Genomic DNA, 20,338 nt, shown 5'->3' with positions numbered 1-20,338 from the left:
GGATTGTGACAGGGACACCAGTTAGCTTCTGCATGGATCAGAAAACACACACACACACACACACACACACACACACGCACACACACCCTAGGTGAACAAATTAGAAAAAAGCAATCATCTGGGTGAGTGCAGCCACCCTTGCTTCCTTCCCCAAGCCCCAGCACCTCGTATGAGCTAAAAGGCACCCTCTTCCTCTTGTTCAGCGTTAGGGTTGCTAGAGAAATACCTGAGTATAAGTCTGACCAAAATATGGGATATGCTGATGCTAAAAAATTATGTGATGTTTTTCTGAAATTTAAATTTAACTAAGTATCCTATATTCCTATCTGCTAAATCTGGTAACCTTACTCAGGGCAGATTCAGTCCCAAACCAGGGTGGACTCCTTGGTGGGCAGCATGTGGGCTGGATGTTAACCTTCATTTGCTACTTGACCTGTGCCCACCTTGTGCACAAACTTCACAATTGAACAGTGTTCTTGGACTATGAGCCATCTGAGGGCAGGTACAATGTCTTATTCATCTTTTTATCTCTATACTGAGAAGGATTTCTTAAATGTACATCTAATAAAAGCAGATGTTCCTTAAAGAAATGTTTTAAACTTCTATGTCAAAAGAAATATTTTTGGTGAAAAAGAAACTTCCGATCTCCTTTCAATGAAGCTTAAGACAATCGTTACCATCTACCTTGGTCAACTTTAGTCACACTGGCATTCAACCATGGTAAGTTTAGATGGGGAGCATGGCACTGAGCCAAGTGCCAGGTGGGTTTCCCAGGACAACTGTGAGAGTTAGGAGGCACTTGCACACTTTTACTCCAAAACCCACAGCATATTTCAGATATTCAATTAAATCTTAAGTCATAAAAAGAACAAGGTTAAAAATATATTATACATAGACAAGCTTAGATACAAAGGTAGTCTCATTTAACCCTAGTGGTTAGCAGCAAATTAGTACCAAAGCAATGGAATTAAGGAATTTTTGACAGTTATACTGCTAAGTTAAAAATAATTGTATACACATTTTTTATTTTTTCCTGATTATCAAAGTAACATATGCTTATTGTAGAAAATCTATAAAGTACAGGAAACAATAAAGCAAAATAAAAAAGAAATCACCTATAATCCTACCATCCAAGATTAACAGGGTAAGGAGTAGAGGGAGGGCCAGGGCTTCTGGCCATTGTGAGATCCCCAAGGACACAGGAAATCTCCAAAGATCTGCATTCTTGTTTCTGGGACAGAAAGGTAGGAAAGAAACTGTGAAGCACCACTTTGTTGCACCATGAGTTAGGAGAAAAGGGGAACTTCAGCCACAAGCAACAGGTGGTGGCAGGGAAAGGAAGCAGGTGGGCCAGTCCCTGGAGGCTGAAGACAAGTGTGACCTGGTGGTGGCCTACTGATCTTGGCAATTCCTGTCTCCACTTCCTACTTCTTTCTACAACAGGAATCCCTAATCCCCAGACAAGAGTATTTGTCTTAGGATGTAGGAAGCTTCTAAATTTCAGTGAATGAGAGATGGGGAAGCAGGTTTCTTTTCCCAGTACTGCAAATGAGGGAAGTTGGGTTCAGGCATTCCAAAGTGGGAGCTCTGAACTCACTTCCTATGGAAACTTCCTCTATATAGCAGTTATTATACGTTCTTCAGTTTTCCTATCTTACAAGCTGAAAAGGTTCTGTGGACTATCCAAAGGCAATTCTTTTTTTGAGACAGAGTCTCACTCCATCCACCCAGGATGGAGTGCAGTGGTACAATCTCAGCTCACTGCAAACTCCGCCTCCTGGGTTCAAGCAATTCTCCTGCCTCAGCTTCCCGAGTCGCTGGGATTACAGGTGCACACCACCACGTCGAGCTAATTTTTGTATTTTTAGTAGAGATCGGGTTTCACTATGTTGGCCATGCTGGTTTTGAACTCCTGACCTCAAATGATCCACCTGTCTCAGCCTCCCAAAGTGCTGGGATTACAGGCATGAGCCACTGCGCCTGGACAGCTCATGTAGTCCACCAGTTTACAAAGGGCTTCACTACACATTATCTTAGCTGACCCTCAACAGAGTAGGTAACACATGAGGAATTATCTCTATTTTACAGATGAAGAAATAGACACCAAGAAATTAAGGGACGTTCAAGGCTATAATGCCAGATGATATCTGAGCTAAGACATAGGTTTCTTTTTTTTTTTTTTAAACCTCAAGTTCAATACAAAGAGTAAGTTCTACAGAAAGGGTGCTCTTAACTAGAGTCATGGCACCCATGGACTACTACGACGTTATAATCCCCACCTTTCAAAAGCTAATGTAATGCCACAGTAACTTATTTAAGGCAATGGATCTGGAAGAATACATTCTAGCAATGAAAAAATATTTCGTCTCAACACTATTAGCATTTCTCTGATGATTAAAATTTAGATATTTAATTTTGAGTTATCAGAAAATGGCATATATATCTTATAATTTATTCTGGTATTAATATCTACTATAGATGTGCTCTACCAAAACCAAAACAAAACCCTATTTTGAAAATTTGATTTTATTCAGCAGATATCTGTAGCAATGTTTTATAAAATAATTTACTTCACTGTTTTTTGTTGGTTTTGTTTTTAGAGACAGAGTCTTGCTCTATCACTCAGGCTAGAGTGCGGTGGTAAGAATCAGCTTCCTGCGGTCTTGAACTCATGGGCTCAAGCGATCCTCCTGCCTCAGCCTCCTGAATAGCTGGGTCTACGGATGCTCACCACCACATTCGACTAACTTTTTTTTGTAAAGACTGGTCTTACTATGTTGCCTAGGCTGGTCTCGAACTCCTGGCCTTAAGCAATCTTCCTGCCTTGGCCTCTCAAAGTGCTAGGATTACAGGCGTGAGCCACAATGTCTGGCCTATTTCACTGTTTTTGATACATTTGAAATTAATCTACATATATATGTACTATATATATATGTTCTTTAATACTGTCTATCTATGTAGTCCACAGGTTTACAAAGGGCTTCACTAGGCATTATCTTAGTTGATCACTATACATTCACTATACATTATCTTTCTGTCCAGAAAACAAGAACACAGATCTCTGGAAATTTCCTTTGTCCTCAGAGATATGTATATATACACACACACATGTTCAATCTACAAAGGACTTTCCAAGAAAATCTACTATACTAAGCAAAGTATACCTAAAGAGAGTATTATAAATATAGTAGGTATCTAATGTCACTGACTTACTAAGAAGGCCACTAAACTGTCAAGCATCATTTTTTTTTTTAGATAAAAGAAATGAAGCCCAATGCAAAAGTCACCACATCAGTGGATTAAAATTAATGTGTCTGGCAAAATGACTAAGCCTCTTTCCTAAAGTGGTTATATATCTTATTGAGTCATATCATAGTCATTAGCCAGAGTTAATTTTGAACAAATAGATGGAGAGATACTCATGTTTAGGCCTGCATGATTTGGAGTCTCTTCCATTATCTGCTTATTTCACTAAAGCAACCCAAAGCCTAAAGAGTTGCTTAATATTATCAAGATACCAAGATGTCCTATAACCATATCTGAAGTAAGACTGCTAAGATGTCATGTAAGGACTACATGAAAGCAATGTTGTCTAGAGACTGCTGATGTTAAAAACAAAACTCATGCAGAAACAAGTGTGTCTACCCAAGTCCCCATCCTGAGAATGCTGACAGTTTCTTATTGGTCCACACCTTAGGTCCTCCAAGCTTTAAGCTGTATTTCTCTCTTATTAGGTAATATTCCTAGGTGTCAGAGCAGCGAGGAAGTTACTATTCTCAACAACATCATAAAATTTAGCCAGAACACTAATAACTGTTAGGTCTGAGTTCTACTTCAGTAATACTGCTATGACGTTGGAGTGGTAATTCTTCTTTTGTAAAAGTTTAAAGTTTCCAAAGAGTTTTCCAATCGTTGAGCTTCAAATGAGTTATACCTGGACTAAGATATCAATTCCTGCCAGCTGTTGGGAAGGCTAGAGCCCTGGCCAGTTGTGAGTGGCCTCATCCACTTACCCAAGTGTATCATCAGATGTTATCATTTTGTATGCACCATAATCTAAAAAGGTTGGGAAGCACTGAACTGAGGAAGGATTGCTCCTCCATAAATTACGAGGCTACCCTGTTACATACAGATGAGGTTTTCCAATTTGATGCACAAAAGTGTCAAACCCAGCATTAAACAGTGAGGTTAATAGGCTTAACTACTCTCACACTTGTTGAGGAAACTGGGGAATCATGTCATTTTACAGCCCAAGGAGTTCCTTTTCAGACACTCTGTCTCCCAAAAAGAAAAAAAAAAGAAGGTGGCAGAAGAGATCTATGAGGAAAAATCAAGCCACTGGTCCTGCAGGCTGCAGGAAGAGTTACCTGGCCTTACCACTCACTACCGCTTCCTCCTTGACATTAAGACCAAGGCTTTCATCCTCCTGATCTTGAAAAGCACATTCCCCTCAACTTCCATAAATCTGCAAAACTTGAAAAGAGCCCCAGTGTCATCAAGTAAAAGAGACGGCGTTAGGAATCTCACTGGAAGGAGGGGTGTCTTCAAGCCTCTCACTGCTAAGCCGGACATTTCCTAACACTGGACAAATTGTACGTCCAGCTCAGGGAGGGTGAACTGCAGTGGTCTTTTACCCTCCAAGCCAATTGTTAGCTTTTCACAGGAATCAGCAGGGAAGCACATGTGAAACCTCTGTGTGACAGTGAGCACCCCCATGCCTTGTGTGACTCTGCATGTAGATGAAGCAGGCTGGGAGCTTTCTTAGCTGCTGCTGCTGAGTTCTCAGAGAAGCCCTTTTTTCCGGCTTGGCTCCCTGCTGGGACAGCCCTTTTCAATTTTTCTATCCCCTCTCGATCTCTTCTCCTGCAGAACACAGGGAAACTTGATTGAAATAAAGACCTAGGGAACATGTTTTATTTTCTCCTGTTCAATCCATTTTAGAAAAGCTTTTAATTGGTTTTAAAAAGATGCTAAACAAAATGTGATGATGTTTTTCACTCTTCACGAACTGCAGATACCACTTTTTATACTTTCAAAGGGCTAATAAATCAATCATGAAATTAACTCTGCAGCTAAATTTAAAGCAAATCCACTGAATACCAGGTTCATTAAAAATCTATGCATTTACTTAGAAAAATTTAAAATTCAAAGAAAATTATCCTAGTAACTGAAATCTGACTTGAATTTTTAGTTCTACACTGAAAATCCAAGACCAAGGCAATCACAAAGGGAAAAAAGGAGGGCTTGGGAACCAGTTTTAATAAGCCAATTTACAAGAAGGGAGGGGGTGGTGGGGGAGGGGTGGAAGGAGAAAAGAGAATATCTGGATACATAACAACATAGTGCCCCTGAAGGGATTCTTTTATTTGAGCACGTGCACACATGCACACACAATTTTTCTGTGTGAAAGCTGGAAATACAACAAATGCAAAATTGAGGATTCTGTGACTGATATGATTACTGTAGTGTATATAAGTATAGTTCCTCCTTTTAAAGAAAAATGCTCACAACTTTTGTTTTCTTACCAGTAATAAATATTTTTCTATCACTCTATGCATTTCTACAATATTTAGCTGAATATACCTTTAATATTTAATTAAAAACATCTGAAAAAACTATATGCTAATGGTTTGACAAAGTGAATGCTTCCATTTTACAATGACTAATATTCTTAACACTTGGATCAGCCTGAAAATTTCCCCTTATTTTCTTGAGAGAATATAAACATTTTAAAAAGCAAGGTGGTATGACAAAGCACATTTTTATTTTGTTAAATACATGCCAACTAGAAATACTACAAATATTAATTTATCCTGTTACTGATTCATGTATACTGCAGGTAATCTGGCAGTCCAGGTCAGAGTCACCAAATTCAGATTAATGACCAGATGGTATTCCCTTCAGAGAGAACCCCTGCCATTTCCAATCACTAAGGCAACCACATCTCTTACTTCTTACATATTTCTATATTCTTCCTCTTCAGTCCTTAGATAAATTCACTCCATGTTCTTTTTAAATGATCCAATTCCTCTTTCTCCCAAGCTGGGCCACGTACCTTGGATGCTCACCCCTCACTTCTAACTCTATGTCTCCTTTCATCATTTAAGTAGCTCCTAAACCACTTCTAAAAAATGTAATCGCTTGAGATATGGTTCACAGAGCACACAGTTTACCCATTTAAAGTGTACAATTCAGTATTTTAGTATATTCACAGATATACACAACACCACCAAAATCAATTTTAGAGCATTTCTATCACCCCAAAAAGAAACCCCATACCCATTAGCAGTGACCCTCTCACTCTTCTCATTCTCCCCTCCCAGCCCTAGGCCATCCCAAATATATTTTCTGTCTTTATAGATCTGCCAGTCCTGGACATTTCATGTAACTGGAATCATCCAATATGTGGTCTTTTTGACTGGCTCCTTTTGCTTAGCATGTTTTCAAAGTTCATTCATGTTGTAGTATGTAATGGTACTACTTTTTTTTATTGCTGAGTAATATTCCATTATATGGATATACTAGATTTTATCAGATAAATGTTTAGTTATGAATAATGCTGCTATGAATACTCACATACAAGCTTTCATGTGGACATATGTTTTTCATTGCTTGTAGGTGTATACTTGGTGGAATAGCTGGGTTATATGGTAACTCTATGCTTAACCTCTTGAGGAACATTCTTACCAGCAGTGCATACAGGTTCCAATTTCTCCACATCTGCACCAGCGCTTGTCATTACCTGACTTTTTGATGATAGCCATTCTAGCAGGTATGCAATGAGTGGTATCTCACTATTGGTTCTGACTTGCATTTCTCTGATGACTAATGATGTTGAGTACCTCTTCTTATACTTGTTGGCCATTTGAACTTTACTTATTTTTGAATGTTTTCACTCTTATCATATCCTGTCTAAATATAAACTCCAGCAATATGAAAACACTTGAGCCCACTAAAATGAAAAGACACTGAAAAATTTTTTTTTGTTGATAAGGTATTTGTGAAGCATGTACGTATAAGCCTCTATGCCATTGGCTGTGAGATTTAAAAGCATAAGATAATGTTCCTTCCCTCAAAAATCTTACAATAAGTTTTACAACACAGAAACAATTATTCTTAAATCTTAGTGTGGCAGATCATTCGTTAATAGTTTCTGTTTATTTCTGTTAGTATCTACTTTGGATCACAAATGCTTCTCAGCCAAGGGGGTGTACCTCTGTTTAAATCAATGTGTATAGTATTTAACAATGTAAAGAACAAGAAGTATAAGATAGCACTGAAGTTAATCTTCCTTCTCCCAAGTGACTTTTAGCATAAATTATTTTCAGCTAAAAAAGAAGAACTATTTTAAGAGATAAATTTAAATGCCTAGAAAAAGTCTCACATTCTAATAGTTTTTATAATTAATATGCTGACATAAAGTTTTTTTGTGTGCATAATATATGTAGATGTTGGGGGTAATTATTTCTGTTTCAGCAACTTTAGATATATACGTTTACTTATTTATGAAAACATTGGAGGAATCATGATATATGTAGATAATTATTTCTGTTTCAGCAACTTTAGATATATACGTTTACTTACTTAAGAAAATATTGCAGGAATCAGAGAAAGGGAAAATACACTCACCTCTCTAACTTCACCCTTAGTATAAGCTAAGACTCCAATTACTAGGAATGATGGTTTATGAAAAGCTGATTTAAAAATCCTTCCACAGTACACATATGTTGCAAATCTTCAAGACTATTATAGGTTATGTTTCTTTTCATTATTTTAGAAGTTAAAAAAAAACTCCAGAAAAACCAAGACAAGTCATTTACTTTTAAGTGCAAAATACACGCACATATATAACTGTTAAATTAAAAATTAGATTCACCAGTTTAAGAGTAAATATTTTCCTTACAGATTAGTTTCTATCTCTAACTTTAAATATGAGATTCTCATACAGACATTAAGATGCTTTTCAAGTCAGTGCTTAACTGCTTTGTACCTGCCTTTGATTGGCATTTTTCAAGGTTACAGCATGCAGAATCAATCAAGAGAACTCATGTCTTGTGACACAGCCAAACATGCTCTGGCAGCCTCTACATAATTTAACATATTTAACCAACCTTCATAGGTTGGTTTTAAATTTGTTAACCTACCAAAATCACAAGTCTCTAATAGCCACATCAGTAAAAATGCAAACACAGGAATCAAGATCCTGGCTATAAATTCACTCCTCAAAAGTGCCACATGACCCAAGAAAAATAACTCAAGATCATCTGTTAAAAATAGTTTTTTAACTGCCCAAAGAAAATAAACTTAAATATCCCCATAAACAAATTTTTAGGAAAACCCATGAAATTATAAATGAAACATATGGGAACATATTCAATGCCTTCTCTATTAATATCATAATCTCCCTTGGCAGTTGGAGGTAGTAGGGATATGTAATATGGTGGAAAACTTACAAAACAACAAAATACAATGCTAATTGTTGTATTCCACACAGAAACTGTGGGATTTTGATTTCTTCAGAAAAGGAATGGAAAAATTCTGTTGATAAAATAATTTACCTTAAACAGAAGTCAAGACTGGACGACCTTTCAAAATCCTTTCAACAACAGAATTTTATGTTTATGATAACCTGCTTATTTAAAGATTGTATCATTATATGCGATTTACTGAAAAACTCTTTGTTAAAATATTCCTTATTAGTAGTATTATTTTACCTGAGGAGGTGCCTTTTTCAGTAAAACGAGAAGAGCCTGTAATACAAGATTTGAAAATCGAGGGCCAATAGGGACGTAATCTGGAAAAGAAACATTATTATGTTTAGGGATTTGATACACATGTACATATTCCAAACATTCAGTTTTTGTTTTTTTTTTTTGCATCAAAAGTAAACACAGTCCCTACATAAGCAGAATATGTATAGAATAAGAAAAAAAAAATTTAAAGAGTAAACAGTCTTAAATAACAGTCATAAAACTATTTATAATAAGAAAAAATATCTCTAATAACCTAAATGCTTAAAATATAAGAACTCTTATCTGTAACTTTTTTTTTGAGACAGGGTCTTGCTATGTTGCCCAGGCTTGTCTTGAACTCCTGGGCTCAAGCAACCCTCCTGCCTAAGCCTCCCAGGTAGCTGGGATTATAGGTTGCCATAATCCCACTGTACTCGGCTCTATAAATTTTTTGAAAAAGCTTCTAAATATTCACTTTGAGTTCATGTAGATGTTTTTTCTGGGATTATTTTGGAAGGAAAAAAAAATTCCAGGTGTATTTACCAAGCATTTCTAAGAAGTTACTGCAAACCATGGCCATTCAGTACACTGATATTAAAACATGATGTTAGAAAATGGGCAAAGGGGAAAATAAGGAATTTCAATAAAACGGAAACAATGGCAGAACCACTAAGATTGGCCCTCAGATGGTAAGGAACAGATAACTTTCTAAGAGAACATCTGACCTGTTAAACATTTACCAATAATTCAAGATTCAGCGTAAATGCCACCTGCTTAGCTTTCTCTGCATACTGCATATGCACCTCTGCCCTGGGCTTAGAGCTACTCGCAGGCCCCCTGAGGTCAAAACTGATCCCTCCATTTTCAGACTATCCACCTGATGAGAACAGTGGGAGGGAAAATAAAAATAAAAAAAAAAACAGAATATCCAAAATACATGGCACATTCTACTTTGCATTAACATTTGCCAACATATGTTATAAAGACAGGCAGCAGCGTCTTTTTCTGAGACTCTAATACTTCTACCAGAGGAGGAAGGGCTCAGCAAGTGCTTATTGAATAAATGAGCAAGCATGCACAGATGATAACTATTCATACCAGTGAAATGTACTCAGAGGGCACACATTCCTGACATGGTAGTGTTGCTATGACCACACACCTCAATTGTGTTAAGATAAAGGAATTTACACAGAGCTATGAGTTTGTGCCTAAAAGCTTTTAAAGAAATCATCCCATAAACTGGGCTGAGATGTATCAAACCTAGCAGACCCAAAACCCACTATCAATTTATGGAGACCTCACAGATATACCTGCTTTGCTTTATAACAGACACTGCCAAAACTTAAAAAAATAAATAACAGAGGACCAAAAGCAGGTCTGAAAATCATGGGAAAAATGCAGTAAGAACAGTTAGCTTGAAATCACGACTACACCATTATGGACAGCTTAAAGAAGAAGGGATTATTCAGACACTGGGTAGTATTTTCAGATGTTATTAAGTCACCAGGTGGGTTTCCATTTCAATAGAGTGTATTACCCCTTCCTGAGCCATTGTTGTAATGAATTTATGTCAGACTGATTTAATTTTACAGTGAAATAAAATTAACAACTTTCTGGCCCTTCCTTGCAGTTTATTTCTTATGAGTTAAGTGCCAGGACCAAGTCTTCTTCATGTTTGTATTCTGTAGGAGTGCACTTCAACACAGGAGATATTTAATACATATTTTAAAAATTACTATACTGCACTTTTAACTTACAAAATTTTTTCAAGATTTATTATCCCATTTTTGTCTTCACAATTACTCTGTGGGATAAGCAAGAGAGGGATTATAGTCTCTGTTTTGTAAGAGCAGAAACTGAGGTGCAGAGAGCTTACAACTTCTGCCCTTAGTGTTTTAGTGAATTTGCAGATTTCTCTGTGATCCTAAACCCTTCTTTCATTAGTTCTGTCAAAGTTCACAAGTGAATTTCTGAGCTCAGAGGTCCTAAATAACAGATATACTCATCAATGAAAATTACTAATCATTTACTATGGCAAGGGCACACTGGAAGATACAAAATGAGACATGGGCCCTTACAAGAAAGCAGTTTATAATGGTGTTATAGTCACAGGGCATATTAAAATGAATACTATCATTGATGTCAGCTATTTAAGAGAGAACATTATATTTCCTTGTAAGACAAAGAAAGGTATTTCTATTGCTTTACAGTTTATAAATACTTGTTAATTTTCTCTTGTAACTTTTGAGATATTAGCTGTAATGTGGCAAAGATAATACAACAGCAGAAGTTAGGACTCACCAAGCAATCTCTCAATGTCATCCACAACCACACAACTGAGCTGGGATTTGTACGCATCATCAAAGATCTGAAAGAAAACAAAGTCATTTATTATCTCACTGTCCTCCACAGTTACGACAATTTCCAAGAAGTTTAGTTACTTCTTGAGCAATACTAAACAAAGCACAGGAAAACACCAACACTTTGGACTACAATAAATTAGAATTGACACACTGGATCACCGCTGAACAGAGAGCAGGCTAAGGCTGTTTTCAGCACTAACAGCTGTGTGTGTCACACCTGGGCAGGCTGGGGACTAGCTGATCATTAATCAACTGACACATCCCATCACTTCTATCACACTGGTCTCTGGTATCTGTGTCAGGAGCAGGACTTTAGTGTAATGACTCAAGAGCTAGATGGAGCCACAAGAGATGTGTAAAATAAAACTAGATGCCATTTTATTATCTATAAGAATTGTGGCTCTGTTAAGCAAAAGTAACACTGAAAGATCAGAATTCTGTCAACTCAAATCAGACCATAATGGTAAAAGAGCTTACAAAAGAATTAAAGGTTGAGTATGAAGGATCAGATAGATGTACGTATAAAACCAGACAAAAGATATGAATGCACTGTCTTAAGATGGTCAAGAAAATGAGAATGAAATTAAGCAGTGAAGGAACGGTTTTAGCCTGGCAAGGATGTAGTAATTTCAAATCAGATAGAAGAATTAGCTTATCTGCAAGTTGAATAGAAGTACTCAAGGCCTTGAGACTAGCCTTTTTGGAAATGAAGGTACTATTCCAGAGACTACAGGTGGGGCTCAGGAAATCTCATCAGTGTCATGAGTAAGAATTAGTTTCTGCATCCCAGCCCACTCTCTCTGGTTGGTAACCAACCTCAGCACACCAAGATAGTAAACCCGATCCCCACCCGCACCAACATCTTGCTTGGAATGGCATATATTCCTTCCTGGGTATCTTTTAACCATTGAAGACTTATAATTAGGTACAGAAATAAAGTCAAACTCATGATATTAACCATTTTTCATGTTAGGTTTAAAAACAACCTGTGTATACTTGGTTTTTAAAGTATTCCTAACAATTAAGTTACCATAATAGAGTCTCACTGTGACCATCTTGATTCAGTTCCTTCCTTACCTCTTTCCTGGCATAAATACTGACAATTTCTCCAGATATTTAATCAGGTCAACCCCTCTGGTGAAAACGTTTTCCTATGCACCATCCCTTTACCCCCTAATTACCCTCCCACACTCTGTCTAAACCCCATCTATCCTTTCGTCCTAAGCTATCTGTCTCCCCACTGGACTGTGAGGTGGATAAAAGCTTTATTCTGTTCATGTTATGTGTAGTGCCCAGCACAGAACAGAATTCAGTAATGATGTCTGCTCTGTAGGTTCAATGGTTGAAACAACACAAGTTCCAATTCCATCTTGCCATAAATCACTTGTCTTCTCCTTTGGCACAGGATTTTGTATATTACGTATATATATTATTGATTCATTGTACTATTTTTGTATTATACTAGATTGCAAGCCCTCAGATGGCAAGTGCTGTCTTAATTACCTCTGTATCCTCATATCATTTAATATAATGCCTTATTAGAGAGTAATTAAGAAGTATTTACTAAAAGAATAAATTTACACATTTTAAATTCAAGTAGAAATATTAAGTGAGAAGTTGGAGATATCTGATTGAAGTCAGGGAATGGAAATCACTCTCAGGGCAGTGACTGCTGAAACCATGACAGAGGAAGCCATCTTCAAGAAGAAATGGCAGAAGAAGAAGAAAAAAAGGCCTAAGGATTGAGTCTTGGAGTGCTGCCTTATTCATTCACTCACTCAACAAATATTTTTGAATTCTTATTATGTATCAAGCATTAATGAAGGCACTGCAGAGGATAATAAATAAGACAAAAATAATCCTACTTTCACAAAAGTTAGAGTTGGGGAAGCAAGTCACATGTAATTATAACAAAGCATGACATTATTAGGCTAGGGGAAATACAAGATGATACGGGGGCACAGGGTAGGCAGTATTTCCCCAGTGCCTTGGAAGTTAGGCATAACTATGGGGCTTGCTTTGGTTAATGAAATATGAGGGGAAATACACCCCTTTCTGAAAGAAGCCTTAGGAGTCACTGCATGATTCACCATACTCCTTTCCCTGCCTTGGCTATCATGGAATCAGATGTAAGGCGGGGCCTCTATTATCTATTAGCTTGAGTCTCTGAGAAAATATAATGAACAGAACTCACTGTCTGAGCCATGACGGAGATATAGTAGTGTAAATAAAAAATAAACTTTGTTGTGTTAAGCCACTGAGATTTTCGGGTTGTCCTTTCATGCAGCATAACTCAGCCTATCTTGACTCTTAAATGGACTTAGGGAGTCAGGACAGTTTCCTAAATTTAGGAAGTGACACTTAACCTGAGACTTGAAGCATGAACAACAGTTAACCAGTGGAAAGGGTGGAAGAAAGTGTTCTAAGCAGAATATACTGAAAATTAGGAGACACAGAGATGTGAACATTCAGGAACACTGCAGGAACGGTCAATAAGAATTAAAATAAAGTGGTGTTGGTGTCAATGCAGTGGAGTGGTAGGTGAGATGAATTAGAAGAGGTGATGAAGGAACTTGGACGTAAAGAGTCTTACAAATTTCATGAGTTAAAATTTTACTGTAAAGGCAATAACAAGCCACTAAAGGGTTATAAGCAATGGACTGACATGTCAGGCTTATGTTTTAGAAACATTTTCCTGATTGTATAGAAAAGCATTAGAGGGGAATAATAGTTAATTGAGATTGTGGAGTTCTAGGTGAGAAATGATGGTGGCCAGGGAGTGGGTGTGCTGGTAAGTGGACAGAATCTAGAGATGTTTAGGAGGAGGAACTGAAAGAACTTGGTGAATGAATGGGTGTGGTGATGAAAGAGAAAACTGGAGTCAAGGATCTGTCCTGATTTGGCAACTGAAATAAAACACAGAGGTGAAGCTGGTTTGAAAATGGATCATGAGTACATTTAAAGAGCAAGAAGGGAAGGGCCTTTTATCTTCTCCTCCCCAAACACAGAAAAAGAGAAAATGAGAATAGGATATTTATTTCAGTCTCTTGATACACAATGATGGTTCCTTTTGGCTTTGAGTTGGTACATTCGAGACAACTGAAAAGCTCAGAAGCAGTTCTACAGCGGTTCTTTGCTACTTTTTTTGAAGATGGAACCGCAGCCAATGTGGTATCTTATAAACTCAGGTAATTTTAAGGAATCACTGAAAATAATGCTTTGCTTTTCAAAACATTTTTCAGAATTCTACTAAAAGCTCTGATGCCAGCATATAACTCTGACCATCAGGCTGTGAGATCATGGATTAGAGCCACAGGGACCTGGAACACCACAGCCTGGCTGGTTGCAGTAGTTCTATGTTTTTCCTTCTCAAAACAATGTACAGCTTATATGGCTGCAAGGACCTTACTCAGGACATTGCTTAGGTCTAAACTAATGATGACTTGCTACATGGTATGTAGTCTCACCAACTTATCTCAGACACTGTAATTCACAAAGCATTCCAAATCACTTCACAGTTGACTGCATGGCCTACACATAACATTTGAGAGGAAAAATACCTGCAGCAGTCACTTAATATCAAGTAGTGACGTTCTTGTTTTTTGCAGTCGGTCTCTGTGCTAATTACTATCAGAGGGAGAGGTGCACTCACAGCAAGCTCTATTAACACACCGACCATGACGAAGGCTGTGCAATTCCAGTTGTAACTTGACTAGTTTCAGGTAACCAGTCAACTGAAACTCCTCCGGGTAGCTACTCTGCTCTAATTTAAATACATACATACACACACATCCCTTTTTCTTCTCACACGTACATTTTCTTCCTTATCTAGTCACTAGTGTAACCTGTGCTCATAACTCTTCCCAGGATCCACGATTTCTGCCTAGTCTCCTCAGTCCCTTAGTCCCTTTCACCCTTTCTGGCCCAGGCCCCAGCAGAATTCTCACTAAGAAGATACTCAGAGTTGGCTGGCAAGTACGTGAGGTTAGCTGCCACAGGAAAATCCAAGTGAGATATTTACATACTAAGCCGGGAAGCTGCACCACAACTTTAGGTAGATAAATCCCAGCAGGAGGAGAGGTACTGGAAAGAAAGATGCGAGAAAAGTAAAATTGTACAAACTGCCCTAGCCAGACTAGTACAACTGAAGTGCCAAACTCACCGTGAGTTATAGCACACAGCAGGTCACACAGTGCTTGCTCTAGATCCAAAGATGCCCCAACACAGAAGATGCCAGGAGGACTGAGGCTGGAGGTAAGAAGGTAAGAACCGTATCTTACAGACTCCCCCCAAAATTAATCTTAAGAATGTAGGGATTTTGACGTGCTCTCGCGAGATTTGGGTCTCTTCCTAAGCAGGCGCTGCAAGTTCTCCCAGGAGAAAGCCATGTTCAGTTCGAGCGCCAAGATCGTGAAGCCCAATGGCGAGAAGCCGGACGAGTTCGAGTCCGGCCATCTCCCAGGCTCTTCTGGAGCTGGAGATGAACTCGGACCTCAAGGCTCAGCTCAGGGAGCTGAATATTACGGCAGCCAAGGAAACTGAAGTTGGTGGTGGTCGGAAAGCTATCATAATCTTTGTTCCCGTTCCTCAACTGAAATCTTTCCAGAAAATCCAAGTCCGGCTAGTACGCGAATTGGAGAAAAAGTTCAGTGGGAAGCATGTCGTCTTTATCGCTCAGAGGAGAATTCTGCCTAAGCCAACTCGAAAAAGCCGTACAAAAAATAAGCAAAAGTGTCCCAGGAGCCGTACTCTGACAGCTGTGCACGATGCCTTCCTTGAGGACTTGGTCTTCCCAAGCGAAATTGTGGGCAAGAGAATCCCCGTCAAACTAGATAGCAGCCGGCTCATAAAGGTTCATTTGGACAAAGCACAGCAGAACAATGTGGAACACAAGGTTGAAACTTTTTCTGGTGTCTATAAGAAGCTCACGGGCAAGGATGTTAATTTTGAATTCCCAGAGTTTCAATTGTAAACAAAAATGGCTAAATAAAAAGTATATATTCACACACACACAGAAAAAGAATGTATAGTCAGCCCAGTTCTATTATGAAGTTTCCTGTAGAACAGGTAAAATTATCAACATACATATATAGGGTCTTAAAGTTAGGAGGGAAGTCTGAAAGAGAAGGCTAAAGAAAAAACAGGAAGAACTGAAGAAGGAAACAATGTGGGAAAGAGTGGCATCAGTCAGCCTGTGTCTCATGAAATAACGGGAAGTCTACTCTAAAGGAAGGAAGAGCAGCTCTAGAAAACACAGAAGCCCGTTATGTCCACCTGTGCACATAATGAGATTGTCATATTAAACTGTAACCTCTCTTGCATGCAAAGGTGGAGGTACGACACAGGCTGGAGGGGTATGAGAGACAACCCAGAGTGTGGGGAGCCTGGGCTTAAGGCAAGAGTGTGCCACATGCACTCCGTGAGCACTGAGGGACAGGAGAAGCGGGGCTCTGCCACGCAGGGATTAGGGGCAGGTCTGAATGTGGTGCTCAAGGACACGGCAAGCTCTTAAGTCCCAGAGCCCACTCCTGGGATCTTCAGACAACTGGGGAGCCACCTGTGTGTGGGACAGGGGCAGCAGCTACGGGCTCCAGAGTCTACACAAGTGCAAATGGGAGCACACCAGCATTAGTTCCATTAATCCCAGCCTTTCGGGATCACAAGCCACAACAAGCATGCTCTCAGGAGATTCAGCCCTCCATCCTCTGGGACCTCCTTAGTGCCCTTAGGTAAGCAAAGCCAAACACTCTGGTTCTTCTGGGAGCTGAAAGAGTTCATCTCAGTTCTGAAGTACTTGGCGTGAAGTACCTAGTTAGTAGAAATCTGATGACTGTAGGAATCTCATAGCTTAGAAAATCCCTAATGCAGTAAATCTGTCAGCGATTAGTTAAAAGCATACTCTAATCATATTTGGTAGCATATAAAAACGTAAATGAGCAAATTCAAATGGGTGCTATCAGTAATAATCTCGTTTCTAAAAATAACTTGGGAGTAGACCAAGCAAACATTAGCTGTCTGCTAATGAAACTGCCTCAGGAAGTGGACCTAAACTTTTGGCAAAGCTCTAAAGCTTCCTGGAATGACCTTAAAATCCTTTATTTGTTCTCCCTGCTTTTCAGGAAAAAATCTTACATTTTCTCATATCGTGAGCCACAGAGAAGGGTATTCTTAATAATATAAAAAGTCACAAGGTCTGAAAGTTCTGCACCAGCCTCCTTTCTACGCCAAAGAGATACAAATGCCAAAAGACACAGTGTATTGAACAAAACAACAACAAATGCCCACCTCCCCAGCCATACAGGGACCTGTAGTCACTTCCGGAGTGCCCACTTCTCTCAGCTAATATATGCAAAAACTTCAACAAATCAGCTACATTATATATTAGGATGTTAACCAAAAACATCCAAATTCTGTTGCTTAGTAACTGCTGTCAAAAGATCCAATTTCCAGCTCTGCTCTTTGTATAGACTAAACCATGAAAAGAGGAGGATTAGGCATCACGATTCTGTTCTGTGCAGACTACAATTTGCAGTGGGATTTACAGGAGGATATTCAAAGAAGATTATTTCTTTCGTGCAAAGCTAGTGGAAAGGAAAATTTCTTCCATTAATTTTCAATCCTTTGAAAATAAGACTATATCATGTTATTAATGGGTACAGTTTTATAAATCACTGGTAGTTTTACTTAATTTTGTTCAAACAATTTAGTTCTATCTGATTGTTCTACTTCATCTCTACTGATTGTATACTCAGAAAGCATCAAGATTAGGTAATTAGTTAAAATCAAATTCTGCTTTCTTCTTTTGTTCATTTAATGGCACGAATAGAACTAGTAAAATAGATTTTTAAACAAGTATTGATGCAAAAATGGATAAAGGAATTAAAATTTAAAAATAGAATGAAGTTTGGGAAGCAAACGTAAAATAGGGGAGAAGGGGAAGGTCTGTGAATACTTCAAACATCTTAATGGAACATATGGTATACCCCCCAGAACGTGAGGACAATACCTCATACATACTTCAGCAGTTTTGAGGAGTTTATCCATGGAGAAAGGATTCACTAATAAGCAAATTAAGAGAAGTACAAGGTGAATTTTAAATTAATTGAGAATAAACTACTTTCACGTATTTTAGCACCATCCATTTGTGAAAAAGAGGCAATAGTATAATTATAATAAAATCTCATGTACTCATTAAAGCAAGCCTAACAGCCCTCTCTACTAAAACTCTTACCTGTTGGTTTAAGTAATAAAGTGGTAGGTAAAGATGCTCTATGAATTAACTAATTCAGACCACACATCTTTAACAAAAATTAATGTGTTACATATTTTTCAGTTTCACAGACTATTGTCATTGCAAAACATTTTGAAAAATCTTAAATTTGAGCATTTAGTCATTGAAATGTAGCTAAAGAAATAACTAAATGCCAACCTTCTGCTTATCCAACTGGCAAAAAATATTTTAATAATATCAAGTACGGGTGAGAATCCCAAGAAACTCATACTCTTATATGGTGAAGCTACAAGTGTAAATTAGTACAACATTCTGAAGGCGTAGGCTTTATAAAACCAAGAGCATTTTTTACCTAAGAGTTTTGATAGCACTATGTATCAAAAATCTTTACAATACTAATATTTTTACCTTAGCAATCCCACTTCTGAGAATTTGTCATAAGGAAATAATAAAAAATGTATGTATAATAATAAGTAAAAATAACCACTACACTTCATTGATTTCATATTATATCCCAGGCACTGTGACACTTTACAGAAATTACCATCTAATTCTCATAACCCTATAATGCAGCTATTAATATTATCTTCATTTGACAGATGAGAAAACAGTGGCTTATAGGTTAAATGACATATCCAAGGTCATTCGGCCGGTCAGTGTGGAGAGCTGAGCAAGCCCAAATTCTCGGTCATGTTATACTACTCTAGTGAAGAAAAATCTAATGAGAAAATGGGGGCAGTAATTTCCCTAGTTTGGTAGTCCTATGGAATACTGTTTTTATATAAATTTTAAATTTTTAGTTATGGCTACATAATAGTTATACATATTTATGGAGTACATGCACCATTTTGATACAAGTATAAAACATGTAACGATCAAATAAGGGTAGTTGTGAAACTCATTAAGCATGTATCATTTCTTTTTGTTAGGAATATTCAATTTCCACTCTTGTAGTTATTTTGATCTATACATAATTTTTTTTTTTTAATCAGCTTTCACTGAGCTTCAGGTGGGGCTGGCCCGGCATGGCCAGTATGGCAGGGTGCCCTCGAGGGCCAGTCTGTGGCATGACAAGAAATGCAGGGGTGCACGTGTTGGGGCTGCCCTTTGGCACTCACTGGGGTGGGTCAGGGGAGAGCAAACACCAAGGTTCTCTGGAGACCGGAACCAGCCAGTGCAGCCATTTGGCTTCTCCCTCAGGACCAGCTGTCAGTCCCCAGGCCCTGAGGTGGTGCCTGCATCCTAGGTCTGTGGGGCATTACTGGTGTCACTCTGAGGGAGAAAGATGGCCAGCTGCTCAATCAGGATGATGAGCAGGCTACCACCCACCACTAGCCCCAAGTAGATCTGGCAATGGATGTTCTCCCAGCACTTCTTCTGGGCCAGGGTCTTTGTTGTCTTGCTGAAGGCTGAGCTCATATCCAGGAGTTGGTCTGAACGCTGCTCCAGTTCGGTCAGCTTTCCATCATGCTCCAGGACCTTGTCAAAGTTGTTAAGCGTGATTTCCGTCACCTTGTTCGCTTGCCGCTGGCACTGCTCCAACTCTTTCCCTGCCACCGCCACTGCCACCAGGCCCACTCCCCGAACGACACATTATTTTATTTTATTTTTTAGATGGAGTCTTGCTCTGTCGCCCAGGCTGGAGTGCAGTGGTGTGCTCTCAGCTCACTGCAACCTCTGCCTCCCGGGTTCAAGCGATTCTCCTGCCTCAGCCTCCTGAGTAGCTGGCATTACAGGGCACATGCCATCATGCCTGGCTAATTTTTGTATTTTTAGTAGAGACGGGGTTTCACCATGTTAGTCAGGCTGGTCTCGAACTCCTGACCTCATGATCCCCCCACCTCAGCCTCCCAAAGTGCTGGGATTACAGGCGTGAACCACTGTGCCTGGCCCATGATTTTTAAGTATAGTTAATTTATTGTGCTGTCCAACACTAGATCTTATTACTTCTATTTAATGGTATTTTTGTTACCACTACCCTTCCCAGCCTCTGATAACCATCATTCTAACTC

At 38.7% G+C, this 20,338-nt stretch overlaps 2 protein-coding genes and 2 pseudogenes across 3 annotated transcripts in view, besides 1 other annotated feature; 1 reads left to right on the top strand and 3 right to left on the bottom strand.

The window, feature by feature from the left end:
• LRRC37A2 (leucine rich repeat containing 37 member A2) overlaps positions 1–20,338 on the bottom strand; it is a 676,337-nt gene that overhangs the window by 311,480 nt on the left and 344,519 nt on the right. The window lies entirely within an intron of this gene.
• NSF (N-ethylmaleimide sensitive factor, vesicle fusing ATPase) overlaps positions 1–20,338 on the bottom strand; it is a 166,796-nt gene that overhangs the window by 19,816 nt on the left and 126,642 nt on the right. For both annotated transcript variants that reach the window (NR_040116.2, NM_006178.4), the window contains 2 exons: positions 11,034–11,100; positions 8,715–8,794 (listed from right to left, as the gene is read on the bottom strand). Coding sequence is in view for 1 of the 2 variants with exons in the window: in NM_006178.4 (NP_006169.2) it covers positions 8,715–8,794; positions 11,034–11,100 (147 nt within the window). In the remaining variant the exon portion in view is untranslated. The remainder of the gene's footprint in view (positions 1–8,714; positions 8,795–11,033; positions 11,101–20,338) is intronic.
• Positions 4,264–5,040: an enhancer, noted in NCBI's record as "OCT4-NANOG hESC enhancer chr17:44809975-44810751 (GRCh37/hg19 assembly coordinates)". NCBI's record gives its function as "activates a minimal SCP1, AML or CMV promoter by ChIP-STARR-seq in naive and primed H9 embryonic stem cells {active_cell/tissue: H9 hESC(naive and primed)}" and the evidence as "EXISTENCE:reporter gene assay evidence [ECO:0000049][PMID:30033119]".
• On the top strand, positions 15,409–16,101 carry RPS7P11 (ribosomal protein S7 pseudogene 11; annotated as a pseudogene).
• Positions 19,444–19,919, bottom strand: LOC107985026 (vesicle-associated membrane protein 5-like; annotated as a pseudogene).

This window comes from Homo sapiens, chromosome 17 (assembly GCF_000001405.40).
Source record: "Homo sapiens chromosome 17, GRCh38.p14 Primary Assembly".
Classification (NCBI taxonomy): domain Eukaryota; kingdom Metazoa; phylum Chordata; class Mammalia; order Primates; family Hominidae; genus Homo; species Homo sapiens.
This window is presented reverse-complemented; position numbering and strand designations above follow the sequence as displayed.